The sequence below is a fragment of the Homo sapiens genome, chromosome 10 (assembly GCF_000001405.40).
Source record: "Homo sapiens chromosome 10, GRCh38.p14 Primary Assembly".
NCBI lineage: Eukaryota > Metazoa > Chordata > Mammalia > Primates > Hominidae > Homo > Homo sapiens.
This window is the reverse complement of record NC_000010.11, coordinates 110,669,823-110,695,410: the sequence shown is the minus strand read 5'-3', so window position 1 is coordinate 110,695,410 and position 25,588 is coordinate 110,669,823. Positions and strand designations below refer to the sequence as shown.

At 40.6% G+C, this 25,588-nt stretch overlaps 1 protein-coding gene across 2 annotated transcripts in view, besides 2 other annotated features; it reads right to left on the bottom strand.

Annotated features, from left to right (window-relative positions):
* The window catches only part of RBM20 (RNA binding motif protein 20), a 196,224-nt gene that overhangs the window by 144,058 nt on the left and 26,578 nt on the right, over positions 1 to 25,588 (bottom strand). The gene's annotated exons all lie outside the window — the stretch shown is intronic.
* Positions 10,310 to 10,841: an enhancer, noted in NCBI's record as "NANOG-H3K27ac-H3K4me1 hESC enhancer chr10:112444328-112444859 (GRCh37/hg19 assembly coordinates)". NCBI's record gives its function as "activates a minimal SCP1, AML or CMV promoter by ChIP-STARR-seq in naive H9 embryonic stem cells {active_cell/tissue: H9 hESC(naive)}" and the evidence as "EXISTENCE:reporter gene assay evidence [ECO:0000049][PMID:30033119]".
* Positions 22,616 to 22,905: an enhancer, noted in NCBI's record as "active region_4041". NCBI's record gives its function as "activates an Ori minimal core promoter by ATAC-STARR-seq in GM12878 lymphoblastoid cells {active_cell/tissue: GM12878}" and the evidence as "EXISTENCE:reporter gene assay evidence [ECO:0000049][PMID:35858748]".

Below are 25,588 nucleotides of genomic sequence, written 5' to 3'. Positions count from 1 at the left end.
TTCCCATCCCAGGCAGGAGCCACCTTCCGACATATTCAGTTACAAGTGAGTGCCTGGGCATTAAATCTAAATGGCCCATGCTATGGAATGCCTGGGCAGCATGCAGTTAGATTATTTATGCCCTCTGCACCTGTGGAAGTGAGGTTTAATTATTTATTTCATGTTAAATTTCCAATCCTTGGCTTCCAGTCTGCAGATGAATAAACACCTCAGTTAAACTGCAGGGGTCTTTGGGTCATCCACTCAGCAGGGGCCAGAAAACTTAAGGATTTCAGCACCTCAGGATGTCATCTCACTCACTGCCTGACGATATCGTAACAAAAATCAATCCTGTGGCAGAGTTTTAAGAATCCTTTGAAGTGACAATATCTGAAAAATTCAGTTTTGCCCTGTCAATCAAAATGTAACTCAAGAGGTAAGGACACAACCTTTGAACCACAGACATGACACTATACTCTGCTAGTATATCTTTCCTGACTTGCTATAGGAGGCCACTAGCCTGACTTACTCCAATTCTTTCCTAAATTTGGGCAAAATTCAAAATTGTTGAATTTTGAATTCAACAATTCAAAATTGTTACAACTCTGGAGTTAAACGTCAGTCAGCTCCTTGTGGTGTCTGATTAAAATGTAATACTAAGGTATGTTCTAACTGAACTAGTTGCCTTCTTATGGTATAATCCAGTTTGCTGTTAGCAAGAGGGCTGTGGTTTGGAAATTGCTATCTTAACCCAAACCATCATCAGCTCTGCACCTCAAGCAGAACTGCTCAGAATTCAAACCTCAACCCTTCTCTACTTGCCTTTTCCTGTATTAGTAACTTGAGTCCAATCTCCTGTTCCAATGAAATGGTTAGATTCCCATTTTGCTATATTTTCTTCTGTGGAGAGAATATCAGCTTTCACTTACAATTCTGGAAGGTTTCCAAGGCCATGCACAAATTTACTGACTGCATCATCGTAGTCCCCTTCCTCTTAAAAGTGGCTGCTCAAGCTTTTGACATAAGAGCTAGCCCAGCCCCAACAAAGATGGCAGTGCCTGAGAATGAATTCAGTTCTTTAATAGGACAAAAATACAAAGCTCTAAACTTTACAATTTGGGTTACAGAATCAATTTCTTTTGGGGGATCAAGGCTGCCTTTTGGCTTTGGTTTCATTCGGTTCATTGGGTTCATTGGTTCTCCCAAAGCACAGGGAGTTGTCTGCTTTGTGCGCTTCTGTGTTCTGCATGGTTGGGATACCTATGGTTAAGACGGTGCTTGGTAGAGGGCAGCAAATGCTTGTTGCATGAATGACTGTCTACCAGGAAACACCCATCCTGAAGACCAGGTAGAAGCACACAGGAAAGTCACAAAGCTCTTGTGCCCCACTGATGCTGGTTGCTTCTCTTAGCTCTCTCTGACCCAGTGTCTGATAAGAAAATGGAGAAATTTAAATTTGAGCCAAATATAACACTGGTTCATTCTGCTACACAAATTAAATGGGCTAAGGACCATATAAAAGCAGTCAGTTTACCAAGAGTGAGGATAATTGTGAGTCAATAATGATATTTTACCAAAAACTCCACAGAGGCCCTGTAATCTAAACTATGTCTCTGGTATGTTGGAATCATTTTTATATAGCCTGATAATCTTATACACAAATGAGATTTCCCACTTTTAATGAGTCAAAAGACATATAGTAAAATATTTTATTAAATATTTGGCAAAAATTGAATACACATTAACAATCATATATACAAGCAAAAGCCTCATGTTCCTTGGTACTTTACCTTGGAAAGAAATAACATGTCATTTAAAATGAGAGTTTCACTCTAAGACAAGAAAGTAATTCAATAAAACAGACAGTAGTAACAAATTTGCCAACAGTTTAGTTTAGAATGGTCACGTTTGAAATGGACGAATGCCTAGAAAGATACAATCTACCAAAACTGACCCATGAAGAAGTAGAAAATATGAAAAGACCGATAACAAATAAGGAGATTGAATCAGTAATCAAAAACCTCCTAACAAAGAAAATCCCTGGACCAGATAGCTTCACTGGTAAATTCTACCAAACATTTAAAGAAGAATTAACACCAATCTTTCTCAAACTCTTCCAAAAATTTGATGAGAAGAAAACATTTCCTACATATTCTATGAGGCTAATATAATCCTGATACCAAAGCATGACAAAAACAGTACAAGAAAAGAAAAATGATAGAACAACATCCATTATGAATATGATGCAAAAATCCTCAACAAAATACTTGCAAACCAAATTCAGCAGCATATTTAAAGAATTATACACTATGACCAAGTGGGATTCATTCACAGAATGCAAAGATAGTTCAATATAAAAAAATTAGTCAATGTAATATACCACATTAACAAAATAAAAAGGAAAACCTCATGAGCATCTAATCGATGTCAAAAAAGCATTTGACAAAATTCAACACCTTTTTATGACAATAACACTCAATAAACTAGGAATGGAAGAAAAAACTTCCTCAGCATGATAAAGGTTAGATACAACAAACCTACAGCTAACATCATACTCAATGGTAAAACAAAACAAAACAAAACAAAAAACTGCAAGTTTTCTCCTAATACCAGAAGCAAGATAAGAATGCTTGCTTTCTCCACTTCTATTCAACATAATACTAGAAGTTCTAAACAGGGCAATTAGGCAAGACAAAGAAATGAAAAGCATTCAAATTGAGAAGGAAGAAGTCAAACTATTTCTGTTTGCAAATGACATGGTTTTATATGTAGAAAACCCTCAAGTTACACACACACACACAATGGTTATAGCTCATAAACAAATAGCAAAGATGCAGGATACAATATCAACTCATAAAATCAGTTGCATTTTTACACACTAGTAATTAACAATCCATAAAGAAAATTATGAAAACAATTTCATTTATAATAGCATCAAAAAGAATAAACTAGGAATAAAGCAAGGAGATGAAAGGCTTCTACACTGAAAACTACAAAGCATTGCTGAATAAACTCAAAGAAGATAAAATAAGTGGAAAGACATTCCATGTTCATGGATTGGTAGACTTAATATTGTAAGTGACCTACAAATTGAATGTAATTCCTATCAAAATCCCAATAACATTATTTTCAGAAATAGAAAAATTTATCCTAAACTTCACATGGAATCTTAAGGGACAAATCCCAAATAGCCAAAGAAATCTTGAAAAAGAGGAACAAAGTTGGGAAATGTATACCTCCTGATTTCAAAACTAACTACAAAGCTACAGTAATCAAAAGAGTGTGGTACTGGCATAAGGACAGACATAGAGCAGTAGAATACAATAGAGAACCCAGAAAAAAAAATCTTTACATATATGATCAATTTTCAACAGGTGTACCAAGGCCATTCAATGGGGAAAGCACAGTCTTTTCAACAAATGGTGCTGGGAAAACTGGGTATCCACATGCAAAATAATGAAGTTGGATCCTTACACAATATGCAAAAAGGAATCAAAGACCAGAACTTGAGATTATAAACTACAGTTTACACGATAAAATTCTTAGAAGAAAACATATGGGGAATGCTTCGTAACATTGGATTTGGCAATGACTTCTTGGGTATGACACAAAAGGCGCAGGCAATAAAAGAAAAAAGAAATAAATTGAAGTTCATAAAAATTAAAAACTTTCATGCATTAAAGGACACTATCAAGAGAGTAAAAAGACAACACACAGAGTGGAAGAAAATATATGCAAATCATATGCTTGATAAAGGGTTATATTCTGAATACATAAAGAAATTCTACAGTTCAACAACAACAAAAAATTCAATTCAAAAACAGGTAAAGGACTTGAACAGATATTTCTCTAAAGAAGATATACAAGTGTCCAATAAGCACATGAAAAGATGCTCAACCTCATTGGTCATTAGAGCAATGCAAATCAAAACTACAATGAGATACTACTTCACACCTACTAGGATGGCCATAATAAAAACAAACAAAATAACAAGTGTGTTTGAGAATGTAGAGATATTGGAATCCTCTTGCATTGCTGGTGGGAACATAAAATGGTTCAGCCACTGTGGGAAACAGTTTGGCAGTTCCTCAAAAGCTAACCACAGAATTATCATATTTTCTTAGTCAATTCGAGGTGCTATAACAAATTGCCATAGACCAGGTTGCTTGAACACGCACATTTACTTCTTACAGTTCTGAAGGCTGGGAAGTCCAAGATCAGGGCACTGGCAGATCTGGTGTCTGGTGAAAGCACTCCTTCTAACTTGGGACTGTATTCTCCTACTATCCTCACATGGTATGGGTAGAGAGCAAGAGCAAGAGCAAGCTCTTTCGTGTCTCTTCTCATAAGGATACTAATCCCATTCAAGAGGGCTCCACAGCCTCCCAAAGACCTCATCTCCTAATACCATCACATGGGGGGTTAGTATCTCAACATATGAATTTTGAGGGGACATAAACATTCAGTCCATAACACATAAGATCCAGCAATTCTGTTCCTAGGTATATGCCCAAAAGTATTGACTCAGGTCTTTCAAGTCCAGCAAGGACTCAAATATTTGTACACCAACATTCATGGAAGCATTATTCACAATAGCCAAAAGGTGAAAACGATGCTTCTGGCCATCAACAGATGAATGGATAACTAAAATGTGATATATACGTATATTGTACTTACAAAGTATATTTTATTCAGCCATAAAAAGGAATACAATTTTGATACATGCTACAGTATGAATGATCCTTGAAAACACGATGCTAAATGAAATAAGCCAGACAAAAAGGACAAATATTGTATGGTTTTACTTATATGAGATACCTAAAATAGGCAAATTCATAGAGACAGAAAGTAGCCTAGAGGTTAGCAGGAGCTGGGGGAAGAGGGACATGGGGAGTTTTGTTTAATGGGTAGAGAGTTTCTGTTTGGGTGATGAAAAAGTTAAGGAAATAGTGTGGGTGGTTAAACAACTTTGTGAACCTATTTAATGTCAGTGAATTGTACAGGTTTTGTTTTTTTGTTTTTTTTTGAGACAGGGTCTTGCTCTATTGCACAACCTGGAATGCAGTGGCACTATCACAGCTCACTGCAACCTCAAATTCCTAGGCTTAAGCGATCCTCCTGCCTCAGCCTCTCAAGTAGCTGGAACTACAGGCACACACCACCACACCCAGCTAATTTAAATTTTTTTAGTAGACAGGAGGGCTCACTGTGTTGCCCAGGCTGGTCTAAAACTCCCAGCGTCAAGCAATCCTCCAGCCTCAGCTTCCCAAAGTGCTGGGATTACAGGTGTGTGCCACCATGCCTAGTCAAATTGTACAATTAAAAATAGTTAGGTTATGTATCTATTTAACCACAATAAAAAAAGGCCATAGTTGTTTATTTTAAATCACTCATTTCCAGGGTTTTTAAGATAACTGATATCATTCCATAAATTGATCTGAAGGCCCTATTTAAGCATTGTTTCATTCCCATTTTCTGGAAGCACTTAAAATTAAGATATCTCTTTTATGAGTGACACAAATTGACAATCAGATGAAAAGCCCATCTAAATATATGCAATCCAGAATCTTCCCTGGCTTCTACCTCTCTGATTTTGTCACAGCTTCTTGATGATATGAAGAATACCAAGAAATAGAAACACTGCTACTTTAGACTTGTAAAAGGCTTTATACTCTATGCCAATTGTCACTAAATGTACAAAATGCCATCACCAACAGGAGGGACTCTACACTGTGGGACTAGAAGCATCGGAAACAAGGCTTTCCACGGAATTTCCCAACAAACAAACTCCCTAGATTTTTAAAGACCCGCACTACCAGCACAGAACAACCGTGTGGATTTCCAACAAAGATATAAAATAGTTATACATGATGGAACTGTAAAACACCAATTAAACTGTTACTGATATTTTCTCCCATCAAAAGCAGGCACCTGCCCCTGAGCTCCGGCCAATAGAGCTGAAAGGGAAGGCTGGCCCATGGATTTCCAACTTTCTCTGAGTCCTTAGTCTGATTGATTTTTCCTCATAGCACTCATTAGCTGACATTATACTGTTTGTGCATGTGTTTACTTGCTATGTCTGTTTCCTAGAAGCTAAGCTCCATGAGGGCAGGTTTTGTCTCTCACTCACCCCTGTGTCCCCAGGCCTCCAGCAGAGCCTGACTCATGGGAGGCCCCAGTCAGCACGTGCTGAACCAAGGGAGTGCAAGAGTTGAGTTGGTTGGAGGATCTACTGATCTTGATTCTATCAATGTCAATATCCTGGTTATGATATCAGGTGATGGTTTTCAAGATGTTGCCATTGGGGGAAACGGAATAAAGGGTACACAGGGTCCTTCTATATTATTTCATACAACAGCAGGTGAATGTAGAATTATTTCAAAATACAAAGTTTAATTTTTAAAAACTTTAAAATACATGCAAACAAACAAAAAAATGCCTAAAAGCCATTCTATAAGATCCTATTATTCTTCAAAACTGTAAAGGAGATTAAAAAAAAAAACAGGAAAGACAGAGAAGCTATTATAGGCTGGGGAAGACTAAGAAGAAATGATAACTAAATGCCATGTTGGATCCTGGGTAGGATCATGAAACAGAAAAAGGACATTGGTGGGAAAACTGAAGAAATCTGAATAATGTCCATAGTTTGTTAATAGTATTGTACCAACATTAATAATGTTTTAGTTTTGAAAAATGTACCATGGTTATGTAAGGTATTGACATTAGGGGAAGTTAGGGAAACTCTATGTGCTTGATTTGTAGCTTTTTTAGTAAATCTAAAATTATTGCAAAGTAACAGTGCTTTTTTTTTAAATGCAGGATTGGAAGAAGGATGTTTGATAATGCACCAAGCAGTTAACTAGAACTATATCTGCTTTACTTTTCAGATAAAAATCATACAAATCTAAGCAGTAAAAATGTTGGGACATCAACGTGTAAACAATTATGTTGTGGTATGAATCCGAAATCCTTAGGGCCAAATTTGGTGAAATTTAGAATCTTTTTTATTTTGAAAAACAAACAAGTATGATGCATGTGCTAGACTTTGAACCCAGTAGAGTCCAGGCCAGAACCATAGCATTAAACACATGAACATTTCTTGAGTAAAATGCATAAATAGTCACACTATGTGAGATTAAAAATAAAGACTGCAAACAGCCTCTCATCCTATCAAGTCAGATTTTGTTGCCAAATACTTTTGCTCAAAACTTTAAGAAAAACCTCTCTGTTTTCAGAGCTATTTGTATTTCAAAACTGCAGATAAGGAATTGTGGACTGGATTATTAGGATTCCAAATGAATAATATTTGATTTTTAATTTGTTAGACCACCAAATTTCTAAAAATTATCAACTCATTATTTCTCTCTCTCCTTTTTAAAACACATACACACACATACACACACACACACACACACACACACACACACACACACACAAAACCATTTAGGAGTAGCACTCATGACCCAGAGGAAGGACAAGGAGGACTTCTAGGATGTTGATGTTTTATTTCTTAATCTAGGAGCTGGTTAGAAGAGTAAACATTCAATGAGCTATGCACTTAAAATTTGTGTACCTTTTTTATATGTATCGTAAATGTTGATGCAACATTTTTAAAAAAGCAGCAATGACACAATTGATGTAAAGTCAAAACATGTTAACATGGGAAGAAGTCTTTTCTCATTCGAGATATGTAGTCACATCCCCTGTATCACAGGTGGACAATGGTCAAGTGACTTGCCCAAGGTCACACAGCAACGCAGTGGGAGAACAGAGACTTCCAGCTCAACTCCTGGTTTGTTACGCAAAATCACGAGATTTCTGTTTCAAACATTTGTTCTATAATATGTGTTACTAATTAACTGGGAAAACTTGTAATACCATCAGACTGGAGTTAATACCCAGACATTTTTTGCTCGTTTAGATTTACTTTTTCCCATGAAATTACAGAACTGATGTCTGGATCAGATGTCTATATTTAATTGGGTGTAACTATGCTTCTCTCTAATAATGCGTAAAATCATCAATGACCATAAATACAAGTTAAGTGTTTTGTCACATCATCCAACTTAATCATTCAGCTATGAATATATCATGGATGATTTAAATCACATTGATTGGACTCAGCACTTAAAAAATGTTAACCCTCTAGTTAGCTATGACATTTTAAGGATGGAAAGGAAAATATAATTTGGGCCTCTTTGACTTACATACTTTTAGTATCTTACTACTTTTCTAGACATTACCATATGACTCAGCTTTTCACTGTGTTTAATTTACATTCTTACTTTTCATAGTTTACAATCTTGCCATAGGCAGCTGAACTGGGACAGTACTAGAAAAGCACTGTGCTTATACAAGGAACACAAATTTTTTCTTTTTTTTTTTTTTTCTTTTTGAGACAGTCTCGCTCTGTTACCCAGGCTGTAGTGCAGTGGCATGATCTTGGCTCACTGCAACCTCCGCCTCCTGGGTTCAAGCAATTCTCCTGCCTCAGCCTCTCGAGTAGCTGGGACTACAGGCATGCACCACCACACCCGGCTAATTTTTATATTTTTAGTAGAGGCGGGGTTTCACCGTGTTGGTCAGGCTGGTCTCGAACTCCTGACCTCAAATGATCTGCCTGCCTCAGCCTCCCAAAGTGCTAGGATTACAGGCATGAGTCACTGCACCCGGCCTATTTCTTTTACTGTAAAAATAAATGATGGATAGAAATGCCTATAAGCAGAAATTTCCAAATTCCAGACATCTGTAAAAATATCTCTTAGATAAAATTGTAATTTCCATTTATATTTTATTATTTTTTTTTAGAGACAGCATCTGGCTCCATCACCTAGGCTGGATGCAGTGGTGGGATCCTAGCTCACTGCAGCCTTTGAACTCCTGGGCTCAAGCAACCTTCCCGTCTCAGCCTCCCAAGTAGCTGGGACTACAGGCGTGCGCTACCATGTGTAATTTCCATTTTTAAAAAGCACATTAAAATCAGAGAGTTTTAACTGGGCTTCAGACTGAATTACTGGCATTCTGTGCTAAATTGTGTGGGGGTGGGATCGGGGGAAGGAGGCTCATACTTCCATCAGATTCTTGAAGGAAGCCATGACCTTAACTATAGGGGGGCCAAGCGGAAGAATCATTCATCATTAGTCACTAGCTACTATAAATAAATAGTAATAATAAAGAGTAAGGAAAGTAAGATCTGGGAGTGAGAGCCCAAGTTTCTATCACAGGTTTCATAGGATATTTAAAGAGTCATGACGACATTGTCATGTAGCGCTGTACCTTGGGCCCTCACAAGAGCCCTTTGAAGCAGGAATGGACTGGGCTCCATTTTGCGGATGAGAAAAGTAAGGTCCGTGAGATTAAAGAACTTGTCAAAGCTCCACAGCTATTCAATGTGGATGCAAGATGCTGGGAATACATATAGCATTTAAACTGATCCCCATCCGAGCTATACGCTCAGGCTTACGTTAAATACCTGTGAGGATTTAAAGGGTCTCTTAAAAGTTCTCCTATCATGTCAGCCTGCGTCACTGTGCTTTTAAAACAAAGATCCTGCATTATGTAAAAGCATTATAAAAATGCAATTTTCAGTGTGTTAGTTTCAATTTGTTTCACAAAGCATACCGAAAAAAAAAGTCTTGCCCTGATCTTGTTACTCACGTTAGCCCGAACCCACCTCCCGACCCTCCCGCCCAAGGCTACCTCAATTCCAACCTTTATTTTTCATGTTCCTTCCAGCCATTCCCTTTCTAGGCATTAAAAATACCTATACCATATACCAACGGTAGAACTCCCTCTGTGCCTTCTAAACCTGAAGTTGGACATCTTTTCCTGCCCGCCCTCCCAAAGGTCTCTCTGCTTCTTCCCCTCTCAGTATGGACTACTAGGGACTTGCTAACCAAAATAGCAAAGAAAAATACATTCCATCGTCTCCTTCCTATCTAGGTGTTTAAATGCCAGAGCTATCTTCCAGCTACCCCATGACCATTCTGAACACAGGCACAGCTGTCAACAGAGGAACAGAAAACAAGAAAGTCCCTGCGAGTCTGACCTGACAGAAGACAGCTTTGTCACCAGTCTCCAAGTCGAAAATAGATCACCCACCACTCAGAAGGGCACAGGGCACTTTTCCACTCTTATCTCAGAGGCCTCCAGGAGTTACATGAAACGCGCTGAGCACTTATGGAATAAAATGTGCAATCAGCGATACGCTTTCAAAATAACTTCTTTTTGACAGGCCCGCCAAGGACAAGATGACAAGGAATGCGTAAGGTCGCGTGTGAAAGTGCTGATCCTCGGCAGCGACCACAAACCCCAGGAAGGACAGCAAAGGCCCCTACGGCCAACAGCTGGGTCATTCGCCTCGTTTTACAAATGCGCAAACAACACTCTCTACCGCAATTCAGGCAGATCGCTCTCCTTGTGCTAAAGCTTTTGCAAACAGATTCACTTCTCAAGATGTTAGGATCCACCGCAATCATCCAGCTGTTTCACCAGCAGTTCTCTTTACTTGTCTCCTTCACATTTTGTGTGTGCGTGGTGGCAGGGCAGGGCCGGCGGAGTGCTCCCAAGCTTCAAGAGGTCTACATCTGACTCATAACTTTATTTAGGCTGCATCCCAGATAGTGAAATAAACACATGGTGACAAAGTCTACGATTTTCTCTTGTAAATTTTTTTAAAGTATTAAAATCCTCACTTTTCATCCAGTGCTGCAATGGAGCAAGATGAACAAGTTAAGTAGGAACAGCATGCCTGAATTTTGCATGCAATTTCCCATTATGAGTGGAAACTGGCCTGAACTTCTACAGTGTTTTGTAGCACATACTTCTTTAGTTAAAGAGGGTGGAAATTAAGCTGTAGTTTATGAGGCTTTTAATTCTGTACCAAGACAAATCAGAAACTCCCCATATTATTTTTTGGTTGTTGTTTTTTGTGTTGTTTTGGTTTGGTTTTGTTCTAACAATATCTTGGGCAAATGACAATTTCTGTTTTCTTTTTCTTTTTCTTTTGTTTTGTTTTGTTTTGTTTTGTTTTGTTTTTAAGATGGAGTCTCACTCTGTCACCCAGGCTGGAGTGCAATGGCACAATCTTGGCTCACTGCAACCTCTGCCTCCCGGGTTCAAACGATTCTCCTGCCTCAGCCTCCTGAGTAGTGGGACTACAGGTGTGCTCCACCACACCCGGCTAATTTTTGTATTTTTAGTAGAGAAAGGGTTTCATCATGCTGGCCAGGCTGGTCTCGAACTCCTGACCTCAGGCGATCCACCTGCCTCGGCCTCCCAAAGTGCTGGGATTACAGGCATGAGCCACTGCGCCCATCCCAAATGACAATTCTTGTCTGTCAATGTTTTCCTTGACACTGTAGAAAAATTATTTCCATGACTTTCTTTAAGAGCTGAATGAATTTACTCATCTCCCGCCGCCCCAAAATATAGTTAATTAAAAATATTTCAGAGTGAGGCATACAACTCTGTTCTTAGTCACAGGATATAACTTGATTTTTCTTTTTCTTCCATTATCTTCCAGCAAAGAGCTACAAGTTTCTGAAATCATCTAAAGAACCCACAAAAACATAAAAGCCACATTCATCAATCATTTCACTAATCTTCCATACAGTTACCTTAAGAATAATTTCAACTGTAGATAGAAATAGAAGTTTCTCCTATTTTAAAAAACTGACTCAACATATTCATTTTGTTTTTTAAAACAGGTCAAATAGCTTTTGAAAGTTGAATTGGAAGTCTTGATTGGCTCTCCAATTGAGGCAAAATCATTTAGACTGACATTTTAATTTAATCTAGAAATGAGCAAGTAAAAGTTACAAAACTCAATTCGCTTTAACTCTTCACTGAAGCAAGGTTTTAAACTCTTAAATAACCTTCCCCAACAAATAACAGAACAAAAAGGAAGCTCTTAAGGAATAAGAGGATAGGGAGAGATAATAACTGGAACCACTCTCAAAATGCAAACCTGACCTAGCATTTACGAGAAAACATTACCAATCTCCTCTTGCACACAAAATTAATGAAAACCAATTACCAGCTCCAATCGCTCTAATGCGGACACTCTTACTGCAACTCAACCAGCACCAGCTGTGTTGTAGATTGAAATTGTAAATCTGACCAGTGCTTTGAGCCAAAAAATAAAACTGCCTTCTGCCATTAACAAGTTCATGAAATTCAGACCTATTAGGTCTTAGGGCACCGGCTGCCCACAAAGTTGTAATTAGAATAAAGCTGACTATGAAATCAAGAAGGTGGTCAAGAATTCGATGAGAACAAAAAAAGCCCAACACTTAGCAACCACTTTTGGATTTTTTGCTCTCATCTAATTCTTGATCACAAGAATTAGACACAATCAAAAATTGTGATCAATGACACAATCAAAAATTGTGATCATCATAACCCAAAAAGTAAAAGAAATATCTGACTCCATACTGACATAAATACTTGATAAATAAACAAGCGAGGAAGAAGGAACAACAGCTCTTCCTTACAGAAGAATTCCAAATAATAAATGGAGAAGGAATGACTGAAATGGAAAATCACTGTTAGAATATGACAATGATAACTATTATAGGCAAGCTCCACAGATGAATGCCAAAATTAGCAGGTGAAAGTTTGAAAAGAAACAGGATATTTGCATAATCCTACAGTAGCTCCCCTGAAATATTCTTAATTACAAAGAAAAAATAGCAGCTTTTAACTTTACAGTTAACACCACCTTAAGCAAGCAATTAAGTGATGCTCTGAGAAGGGCACATCCCCTCTTTGGGAATCTTCTTCCAACACACATAACCTCAATCTAATCATCAGGACACATCAGGCAAACTCAAATCCAGGAATCTTTCACAACAGGAGTTGGCAGATTACAGCCCAAGGACCAAATGTGAACCTTTGCCCGTTTCCATAAATGAAGTCATACCGAGACCCAGCCATGTTCATTTATTTACATATTGTCTGAGGCTGATCTGTGCCACAACAGTAAAGGTGGGTAGTTGCAACAGAGAACATGTGGCCTGCAAAGCGAAAACTCTTTACTATCTGGCCCTAGATAGAAAAAGTTGGCTCCATCTGTGTTCTACAAAATAAGTGACCAATACTCTTCAAAAATGTCAAGGTCATGAAAAACAAGAAAAGACTGAGGTACTGTCATATTCTGGAGGATGCTAATGGAGACATGACAACGAATGCCAGGTGGGATCCTGGATTGCATCCTGAAATAGAAAAACACATTAGTGAAGGCCAGATGTGATGGCTCACGCCTGTAATCCCAGCACTTTGGGAGGCCGAGGCGGGTGGATCACCTGAGGTCAGGAGTTCGAGATCAGCCTTGCCAGCATGGTGAAACCCCATCCCTACTAAAAATACAAAAAAATTAGCCGGGCATGGTGATGGGCAACTGTAATCCCAGCTACTCAGGAGGCTGAGGCAGGAGAATCATCTGAACCCGGGAGGCAGAGGTTGCAGTGAGCCAAGATCATGCCATTGCACTGCAACCTGAGCAACAAGAGCGAAACTTTGTCTCAACAACAACAACAAAAAAAAAAGCAGAAAAGAAAAGGAAAAGAAAAAGGAAACATTAATGAAAAGACTGTTGAAATCTGAAAAATGTCTGTAGTGTGGTTATTAATAGTGTGCCAATATTCTTTTCTTGGTTGTGATAAATGTATCATGGCTTATCCAAGATGTTAACGCTAGGTGCAGCTGGGTAAAAAGCATACAGGAACTCTCTGCACTATTTTTGCAAATTTTCTGTAGGTCTAAAATCATTTTAAAATAAAAAGTTAAACAGTAATTGTGATGAACTCCTCACCCGACCTCAGGCTAACGGGGAGCAGCAGCAGCTGCCATTTCTAGGCCAGCCTCAACCTTCCAATGGTGTCTTTACAGGGCTTAAAAGCAACTGCAAAAATAATTCCAAGGTCACTGACACTTCAAGCCAGTGACCTGAAGGCAGAAAAGATTAGCAGAGAGCATGCCTCAACCAATACTGCCTTTACAAATACCTTACAGTTTAGGGTTTCATGTACTTAAATATAAAGTACTAAACAAGAGGATGAAATTAGACATCTAAATCTCTCTTGTGCCATTTCTCAAAGCTTAAACTAACCCTTAAAGATAGGTGGATGTGAAGATTTTCTTGGAAGTGTTGGCAGGAGGAGGTTTGGTGCAGACCCTATTGCGAGGAGACGTGGTCTAACAGCAGGGGGAGACAGTGTGTCCCTGGGATTCCGGGCCAGTTCTGTCACCAGCTTCTCGCACAGCCCTGACAAGGGAGTGAAATGCCTTCTGCAGAGGTCTCTCCCTTGTTTGCTCAAAGGCTGTCCCTGCATGGTCAGTGAGGAATGTGCGAGAAGAAGGTGCCCCTGTTTCTCTTCTATCAAGCAAGTGCCCCCTAGACAGAAACCATCCAGGCAGACTTAAGATTTTTCACGAATGTAACAAGTCATGTCTGTAATTACGCAAAAATACAGAGAGAGAATAAGAGACAGACTGAAGAAGAAAGAAGTGGAAAAGAAAGAGAAGTAAATGGAAATGAGTGGGGAGAGGGGAGCACACGAGAGAAACAGGAAGGAAATATGGAGGTGCAGCTGTCCCCAGCAAGAAGCAGCTGAGCAAACGGACCCTCGAGAAGCACCTGTCTTCCTCCAACCTTACTGATCAAACCTGGTATAGGTGCATCAAAGCTGGGGTGAAGGAGAAGGTCCTGCCAAGCCCCACTATGAAAGGTGGGTCACAGCCTCCCCCAGGCGTGCACCCTCCCCGCCCCCAGGTGACACGCATTGCGTGACAGCGCACCACAGCCCACGCTAGTTAGCCGTATGTGTCAGTCCCCGAGCTAGCCAAACACCCTTGGCAAATCCTGGCTCGCCACTGAACACACAACCCAGCAGCCCGAGGCCATCCATCATGCCAGCCCAGGAGAACAGATGAGACTTGGAGAAGGAGGCTCCTACCACCTTTTTAGCTGACCGAGCTCCTCCTCCCCCAGCTTTGAGAGAACCGAACCCCTGAGATGGGGGAAACCAGGCAGTGGCCAGTGCCATCAGGAGAAGAAAGAGGAGGCAATTTTATGAATGGACCATTCAGACAGGGAAAACAGCCCTGTGGGCCTTCCCTGGCCAGTGCCACCCCTCCCCACTCTGAAAATTCTTTCGACTCCATCTGCTCCGAAGGAGGCAACACATCCAAGGAGCAAACCCACCACCCACTCCAAACTTGAACTTCCGCCCCCACCAAGAACATTCCAGTGGTTTTGCCAAACAAACTAATTGCTCTCCCCCAGGACAGCCTGCATGACAACAGGTGCCCGGCTCCCGGCTCTAATGCCACCACTCACAGTTTCTGGGTTTCATTGTTTTTAATTAGCCTAAATAATTGTTCTTAAAGTCATTTAGAAACAGTGCTGTCCTACTGTGCCCTTATCTCAAAATATGAGAAGAGCAGGTTAAAAGGGGCAGTGTCAGTCCAGGGATGAAACTGAGATTGAGGTGCCCGCCGACCGTCTCTGGCACCAGATGGCATGAGCTGTGAATGACAATCACCAAGTGAATGCCGCTGTGGCCATCTGTGTGCTGGGTCTGTCTGCCTGGCTGGGAAGTGCGTCTGCATGTGCCCCAGTCCATCAGGGCTAGAGGAAGGCGGACCTGCCTCCCAGCCCTCAGCCAAGCCCTCTCTCAGGAAACAGCCACGCTGCAGACAGACAGACTGCCAGCCTGTGGCTTTGCCTGCCCAGCCCTTCAGAGAGGATCCAGGGGCTCGCAAAGCCCTTGCATAAAGTCACACCTGATTTTCAAAACAACCCCATGAGGCAGACACCATAAGCAGGAAACCAAAACATAGGGGCTTACATGATGTGCCCAGCTTAAGAACTGCAATAACAGGAACTATGATAATTATTAACAAGAAGAGGCTGGGCACGGTGGCTCATGCCTCTAATCCCAGTGCTTTAGGAGGGTGAGGCAGGAGGATTGCTTGAGGCCACTAGTTTGAGATCACCTGGGCAACATAGTGAGACCCTGTCTCTACAAAAAATAAAAATTAGCTGGGCATGGTGGCTCGTGCCTATAGTCCCAGCTACTCGTGAGGCTGAGGCAAGAGGATCACTTGAGCCGAGGCGTTCAAGGCCGCAGTGAGCTATGATCACACCACTGCATTCCAACTTGGGCAACAGAGCAAGACTCTATCTCTAAAAAAAATTAAAAATAAAAAAAAGAAGAAAAAGGACAATGAGCATTTATTGGGTACTTACTATGTGCCAGATACTGTGCTAATCACTTTATACAGCCTTCATCCTAGTGCCAACCTTGGGAGGAAGACAGGAGTACTTATAAATAAGAAGCAGAGGCTCCATTTCATATATTCAAGCCTGAGGCTCCAGGAGGCCAAGTTTCCTGCCCAGGTCTCCATGGCTCCTCAGCAGAGTATCCTGGATTTGAACCGAGAACCTGCATATTAAACCACTGCAGAGCCTCTTTATCTCCAAGTGTGGGTTGCAGCAAAGCATGAACCCATCTGTGCTCCAGGCCTGAATGAACATAAACCAAGTCATTCCAAAAGTCTCTGTATTGCTGAGCTTGAACTTTCAGACTCCTGGACCAGTGCTCCCTCTACTGCAGCATATCATGAAAATGTCACATCTTCATTAGATATGAAGTGAATCTACCACCAAACATTCTCCTATTGCCCACTGCTTCTGTAATAAAATTTAGACCTAGAAAAATCTTTCAAGGTCATCAGGCTCAACACCTTTATATTCCAGATGTGGAAACCAAATCTCCAAGTCTCAGAGAAGCCAAGTTCATTGATCAAGGGAGTGGGTGGCAGGATGAAGAGTAGACCCCAGACTCCCCCGGCCTTGCACACTCAAGAGTGCTTTCCAAAACCAAACTGTACCTTCCCAGAAATGAACAATAAGGGAGAAATCACACAATAGGATGCTTTCCATGGGTGTCCTTAACTCAGGAGATCCTTTCTCTGATGATGCTGCAGTGGGCATGATGCTGCTTTAATCAAAGTGAACCAAATTATGAGAAGATCATGGTCTCAACATGCTATGAGCTCAAGTACGTCTTGAAACAGAATTCCATTTAGTGACACCCTCATAGCCACTTAATGGCAAAGTAATGTATTTAAATGCCTTGACACCTAAACATTTTTTTGCATAATTACATTTAATCTTTGCTCTTTGGTTAGGTTTTTATAGGGATTTGTTTTGTGTGGATAAACTTTTGAGTACTCCCATAGCTCTATTTCCCCACATTGTCTATAAGAAAGATAAGGTTGAAAGAAATCCTTTCTTTTCCTTAATATTATTTATCCCAGTTTATGTTTTATAGTTACCTATTTTTTTGGTTTATGTTAGTTTTCCTCACTAGACAGGAAGCTCCATCCATAAGAATTACCTATTCCATTCATCACTCAGCACCTAAGACAGCACCTAGCACATAATAGGTGTTCAGTAAATACTTCTTTCAGTTGAATGAATTAAAAATGAAGTTCCCCGAGGGTTAAGCTGTGAAGGAGCAACATCTAGAGGGTGCAAATCCCCTCTGACTCGAGTAAAACAATTCAGAAAGCCATTTTACCAGCCTGGTTGGTATCATTATTTTTAGAGAGATGTCTACAACATGAAGACAAGTAACATGAGATACATGCCCATCGAACACACCAACTATCTAAGATCTTCCGTTTTATCAGAAATTTGGAAAAATTAAACAATATGTAACACTCCAGTTTTCCCAAAATACCATTTAGCACCAAATAGTTCTGTGCTATGGTTTGAATATTTGTCCCCTTTAAGATGAGGCCTTTGGCTGGGCGCGGTGGCTCACGCCTGTAATCCCAGCACTTTGGGAGGCCAAGGCAGGCAGATCACGAGGTCAGGAGATAGGGACCATCCTGGCTAACACGGTGAAACCCCATCTCTACTAAAAATACAAAAAATTAGCTGGGCGTGGTGGTGGGCACCCGTAGTCCCAGCTACTCGGGAGGCTGCGGCAGGAGAATGGCGTGAACCCAGGAGGCAGAGCTTGCAGTGAGCAGAGATGGAGCCACTGTACTCCAGCCTTGGTGACAGAGCTAGACTGTGTCTCAAAAAAAAAAAGAAAAAAGAAAAAAAGATAGGGCCTTTAAGAGGTGACTGGGTCATAAGGGCTCTGGATTAATCCATTTATAGGTTAACATATTCATAGTTAATGGATTAATGGGTTATTATGAGAGTGGGACTGGTGGCTTTATAAGAGGAGAGAGGCCTGAGCTAGCACGCTTAGCCTCCTCCACCATGTGATACCCTATGCCACCTCGGGATTCTACAGAGTTCCCACCAGCAAGAAGGCCCTTACCAGATGCAGCCCCTTGACCTTGGACTTCTCAGCCCCCATAACTATAATAAATAAATTTTGGTTTCTTTAAAAATTATCCTGTTTTAGGAATTCTGTTAAAAGCAACAGAAAACAGCCTAAGACAGTCTACAAGTATCTATCTGATTGCAGCCTTACTTGAAAATTTTAAAATTCTAAAGTGACTCTGAGATTTTTTAAAAACATTAATATTTTCAAGCTACATATATTTTAAACCTCTTTATAGCCTCTTGCATCCACAAATTTAAAAACCAATATTGGATTTGAAGCAAAAAAAATAGCATTTGTTGCTTCCAAAGAAGCCAAGTTGGATTATATCAACGATACAGGGACAAGAACAAATAGGTTTGTCACAACCAAGGAGACTGCAAATCAGAAAAGTACAAGAAGTTGTTCTTCCTAATTGATAGACACTTTGTGAATTTTGAAATTTGTGAATGAAGTAATATAAAGAAAAACTCTACAATTGCAGAATGTCATACAGAAGAAAAACTACCATATGAACAGTTTGAAATGTGCAGGAACGCAAGTGTAAGAAGTACTAAGTGATGTTGCCCCATAAATTCTGAGAGCGATAGTTAGAATTAGCATTTCATCTTAGAGCAAAGTTTCTCTTCCACTGTTTTTTTCCTTTTATGCATGTTGTCTAAACGTCTCTGCCTTGGTTATAATTGTTTCGTGCATTGTTTAACTTTATAGGCAATAAAAGATACCACTTCCAAATATCTATTTTTCTCTCTCTGTGAGATGCAGGGCACTTATCTGTCAGCGCCGTCAGGAAGTGGGAACCAGCAGAGCGAGGACACTGGGAATTTCAGCATATCCTGATTTCAGCCCCTGGGATGTACAATTGGCACCAGATTTTATGCCAAATTTCAGTACAATGGAAATGTCCTGGTTTCACCCTCTGGGTTTTAGAAGACAAAAGGAAATGCAGTCAGTTCTTGGAGCAAAGCAGAACCACATCTGGAATTCATAGTCCATTCCTGGGATGCTCCAGAAGAAGAAATCCAGCGCCCACTATCCGTTAGCTAATTATCATTGCAGGTGACTACCAAGTAAACTCTACCTAAATCATGTCCACCCTCACTGCTTCTCATTCTCAGAGACTGCATTATAACCCTACATATATCTGTGAAATATAAGCCATAGCAGCTATCATTTCCTGCCTGCTTACTCTCTGCTAGGCATTCTGCTAAATGATTATATATATTATCACATTTAATGCTCCCAACAACCTGAGGTAAATATTCTTCCTTTTTCATAAATGAGCAAATCAAGGCTCAGAGAAGTAATTTCCAAGGTCACAGCTGGTAAGTGGTAGAGCCAGAATGTGAGCCCAGGTCTGTCTGACTTGAAAGGCGGGGCTCCCTTAGAACTTGAGGGGGACTATGTTAATCTCAACAGGGGCTTTCAACAAGCACCAAGAGACAGTATTATACAGTGGTGAAGAACAGACTCTGAAAGCAAGCTGCCTGATTCAGTTCATCTGAACCCCTGCTTGCCCACATACCTTACCCGCTGGAAGTTGGTTGACTTCTTTATATCCCAGTTCCTCTGCTATAAAGTGGACATAACAATTGTTATCTGTTCCATAAGGTTGTTTGGGGATTAAATAAGATACTACATGTAAAGTCCTCAGAACCACATTATAAGAATGCAAGACACAGCTGCTCATAATGATGATGGTGCTGGTTGTGGTAAAGGCCATGATCTCAAGGATAAGCCTCGCTTCTTAACTTTGGAGCCTCCTCCCAAACCTAGCCCATCATCCTACCTATTTTTTTGACTATCACAATTCAATATTAAACTTATTCACCAAAACAGGCTCTCTTTTCCTTTATTCCCATCCTGCTCTTTTCCGGGTATAGCCAGTAAGTTCACTTCCACCTATCCAAAACTTGCTCACTTCTTCAAGGCTCCCCCAAATCCCACCTCCATGAAGTCTCCCCCAAACACAGATGATCCATTGTTCTTCTTCCAGACAAATTGCAGTCCACCATTTAGAGTCAGCATTTAGAGCATCATCAGCAATCAGCAATGTACCATGGATACAGAATTGCATCCTGCCTTGGAACGTGTATTAGATATTTTGACTTTGTTTGCCTTATCCCCACAACTTGGTTGCAAGCTCCTTGAGGACAGTATATGATATATTTCTATGTCCTCCATAGGCAATAATACAGAGCTAGTGTGTGCACACACACAGACACACAATCACATCAAATAGGCATATCCTCCGGTGGGAGAATTCTGAAGTTATTGATTTAAATTATTTTAAATGTCAAGAGTGCAGAATGAAATCAAGAAAGAATCTAAAAAATATAGTACATCGACAGCCTCAAAAACACCAGACCTTGTATGTGATCTTGAAGACTTAAGCAGTGATCAATCTTAACGCCTGCACTTATTACCAGCTTGTTAATATGCAGGTTTCCTGATGCAATTCAAATTATTTGGATTAAACAGATTCAACACCATTAATCCAGTGAGCTTCAAAGTGATCTACAAGACTTGGGAGACATTATTGAGCTTGCGTGGTCACGACAAAAATGTGCAGCTACAGGTTATGTAATTCAAGTCTGCTCATCGTCTGGAAATGGGCTTGGAATTGGGAATGATTCTCAGAGGATGCTCAGAATGTGTTTAAACTTCAGGACACTGGAATCCTGCTCTAACCTGAAAGTAGTGGGGCAAAAACAGCAGTCTTGGTTTTAAGAGTTCCCTGTTGTAAGCAATTCCCCATGAACAGGAGAGCCAGGTGCAGAATATGTGAACTGATACGGGTACAGGTTTTCTAATGGATTTTACAGAACATAAGAATTGACTATAACTCAAAAATGACTTCCATCCTACACAGATATTAAAGCCCAGCCCTTCCTTCCAATATGTTTGCAGACTGAGTAGCCATAAATGAGTTTTATATTACTTCCCACCCACCTGACACACAAATGAACTAAAATGCACCCTTAAAGAGATATCGTCTCTCTTCAGGCAGCAAGTTTGGCAAGAAATTGCAATATAAAAATGCAGGAAGGAGGATTAGAATATCCTCAAGTCTGGCCTTGCCTCAGGAAGATACACCCTCAGACTGCCAAAGGAAAGCTTCTCTGCTGGTAGATTCATTCTCCCCAAAATGTTTAGGAAGCCAACCCTAAAAAGCTATGCCACCCACAGTAAAGGATATTCCATTTTTATGTGACTCAAGCTCATAACAATTTCTGATGGCTCTCTGAACTTAGCAATCCAACACAACCTCTAGTACCACTTCAATCCCTGAAACACAAGTAAACCTCATTCCTCCAGTTTCAATATAGGCCACTGTCCTCAGAATGTGGGGAGTTGGAAACAAGCAGATTGCAGAATATACATCTAGGTTTCAGATCACACAGACTTCAGCAGCCAGTACCTTCTAAGCTCTCCTCGCCTGTGGCCTTAGTGACATTATCTTAAGAGTATTCTCATAATTCCTGGTGCTGGTGAGGCTGGCCGGAAATAAACACTTAAGCACAGCTAGCAGGAGTAAACATTTATACAAATTTTTTGAAAAGCCATTTGGATGCTGGGCATGGTGGCTCACGCCTGTGATCCCAGCACTTTGGGAGGCCGAGCTGGGTGGATCACGAGGTCAGGAGTTTGAGACCAGCCTGGCCAACATAGTGAAACCCTGTCTCTACTAAAAATAAAAAAATTAGCCAGGCATGGTGGTGTGTGCCTGTAATCCCAGCTACTTGGGAAGCTGAGGCAGGAGAATTGCTCGAACCCAAGAAGCAGAGGTTGCTGTGAGCTGAGATTGCACCATGGTACTCCAGCCTGGGCAACAGAACAAGACTCCGTCTCAGAAAAAAGGAAAAAAAAAGAAAAAAGAAAAAAGAAAGAAAAGCCATTCAGGAATATGTATCAAGAACCTTAAAAACATTCTCACTCTGCCCTATGATAATGAGACTATAACCTAATACGGAAACAAGTTTTAGCCAGAAAGATGTTTACTGCAGAATTTTTTAATGAAAATAAAAAAACACCTAAATATTCAAAAGTAGAGTGGCTGTATATGGCATGACAGAATATTATGCAGCCAGTATGTATGTTTGTAAAATAATAATAAGAGAAAAAATGCAAAGTTCAAAGTTGAGCTTCATAGTACAATTAAAAACTAGAAAAAATAAATCTAACGTATGTATAGACAAAAAAGCAAAGGAACTATTCCAAATATCAGTTGATTTTAGATAGTGGACCCATGACGAGTTTTTCCTCCCTGCTTTCTACTGCTCTATACTAAGTATGTGTCAAGCTTTATTTGAAAAACTCAAGTACAAGTCCACGGTACAACCTAGCACTCTGGGGGCACTGGCACTCCAAAAGAAAGTTGCCTTCCCACTCCAGGAGAAAAGACCATCTCACCGGGGACCGCTGTGCCCACCCCAGGTCTGAAACGTCCCCTATCCGCGGACGGAAGCATCTTCAGGGGTCGCTGGAGAACCGTGGGGGCGCGAGCGCGCAGCTTCCGCGAACACCCGGGAAGACCGCCTGCGGCGCACCGCCCCGGGGGCTTTGGCTGACGATCACGGAAGCTCCGCCGGGCGAGGGAGGACGGCAGCAGCCCGGAGAGAAGGTCTCTGCAGAGCGGGGACGCAGGGTCCCGGGTGACACTCGGCGAGGGGAGCCTCCCCTTTGACTGTCTCGCTGAGACCTCTCAGGCTTCTAGTTTTCAAACACGAGGGTTGAATTATTCGGAGAGCTCAGCAGAAAGCGGATTAAGAAGGGGAAAGCCGAGGGAGCCATAAACTGACAAGTGCTGCGACCTCTCCGGCCACCAGGGGCCGAAGTCTCACCACTGCCCCCACCCGCGGCGCCAGGCATCGCCTCCCTCGTGGCAGAACCCTGTCCAAGTGCGCGGAGAAACGCAAAGCGCGGCAGGGACGGCTCCCTGAAGCCCACCGGGTAAAAGCAATGCCAGACATCAAAACCAGGAGCCTCCGAGAGCCGTCATCGGACAAGATAGGAAGAAGAGTCCCTAATAGGGCCCTAAAATACCCCCTAAGTTTGTCCCTCTGGGGTGAATTTGAAGTCTTCAGAGCTAAGTGGCTGATTATGAGCCTCAGCACCTCGGGTCCCAGGTGATATTTTGGTGATGAGACTCCACCCTAAAGGGATAGCAACTCTGTAAAAGCTGAAAAAGAATTCCTACATAATATCAATAATCACACCAGAATGGATCTCTTCTGTAAATTAACATTTTAAAAGATATCTTTACCAATAAAGAGATTTAAAGGGAGTGTTTCTTGTAAATACGGTTAATAAGCATGTCGATATATATACATATATATATATATCTTAAACAGTGTCATTTTACTTCTATTAAATTAGTTTTTTAAAAAAAATCTTGAGCTGGAGAGGTGTTTGTTTCACGAGCGCACAATGCATAATACTTTGGTAGACACTGTTCTGAGCAATATACAAATACTCATTCCCAATAATAGACCTATGAGGTGGGTACTGTGTCACTCCCACTTTAAAGAGGCAGTAACTGAGGCACAGGTAGGTTAAATACTTTGCAGAAGTTCACACAGCTGGTAAATGCCAAGTGTCAAGCTGGAATTCAAAGCTGGGCAGAGTGGTTCCGCTTAGTTATTGTGAGACCAATATCCTCCTATGTTACTGCTAACTTTTTAAACAGGTACAACTTTATTGTAAAGCAATGTGGCTAATATATCAAAAGCAATAAAAATATTCATACGCTTAGAAATAATAATCCCATTCTGAGAAAATATTCCAAAATGACATGCATGAAGAAAGCCATTACTATAGTATTGATAAGACAGAAAAACTAGAACCATCATTGTCCATCAGTAGGTGAATAATAACTTTGGGTAAGTCAGCTCAGTGAGGAGGTATGTGTACATGCCCACGTGGTTCTCCAGCGATCCCTGAAGATGATCCACTGGAGGCTTCTGTTTCCTGATTGGAGACGTTTCTAGGCCTGGGGGCTTCGAGGCAGCCACAGGAGAGATGGTCTTTTCTCCTGGCATGGGAAAGTGACTTTCTTTGGCAGCGCCAATGCCATCATGAAAAATTAAATTATGAAGAGGATGCAACTGCAAGAAAAGTCTTTTTACATCATAATGTTAACAGGAAAATAGAATGTAAAACCATGTGTGATACTTTAAAATATATGCACATGACCAAAAATAAAAGGAAGGAACACAAAAGAGAAAAATAACAATCTGACAAAGAGATTACTGCTAATATTTTTTCTTTCAAGAATTTCCCTTTTTGTTGTTACAGTCGTGTTGTTATGCATAAAGTTTGGAGAAACTGAAGTACATCTCAAAGTATTTATGAGAATAAGCCATATTTCCTGCGTCAAGAGCATCCCAAAGGAAACCTGTAACAGGGATGGTTCTACGGTATTTAAATGTTCTCTGAGCGGGGCTCCCTCTTGCCAGGGAAGGAGGATCATGCTGGCAGCTGGAATTAGCACCGTTCTCAGCCGCTGTATTAGAGAACCCCAGCAGAGATGAATGCTGCAGGGATTCCAGGCCTAGCATCAATGCCCACAAATCATAATGATGGTGAAAGAAGCAGAAGCCAATGTCTGGGGCTTTTCACACCCAGCAGCTAAAGAAATACAGTCCAGTCATGAGAAACTTAGTTTCAGATCTCACCAACGGGCAGTCTAAGGATGTGCCACATTCTTCACTTCCTATCTGTCTGTGCCAGATATCAACCAACAGTCCCTGGGAAAGAGACAAGAGTGAGCTAGATCATTTCTTGAATCTACTCTAAAACTCCAAGGTGTGAAACTTTTAGACTCCCTAGGAAATCAAGTTGAAGCAAGGAAAAATCAAGACAAAAATTCTCAACTCAAGACAACATGCATTGAATACACATTCATGTAAACGTGCAAAGAGAGATGATACCACTTTAACAAACTGTAAATATTATTTCACACAAAAATCACCATCTAAAAAAATCACTCTTCAAAAAAAAAATAAGGTGGAAACTAAAAGGTTTCAAAGAGATGAATTATTAGACTTACTAAATAAAGTTGGGTCATGGTTAAAACCAAAGCAAACATTTCTGGAACAACTAAATAGGGTGAAATCGAATGGTTTCAAAGAAATGGCATATTATTTTTAATTCAGCAACCTTTAATCAGGAGTTTGTCGATTGACCAAGTTCTAAGCCTTCTCCAAAAGCCAGTAGAGTACCTTTTAGTCACTGTGTGCTTAAGAACTGTGTCAATG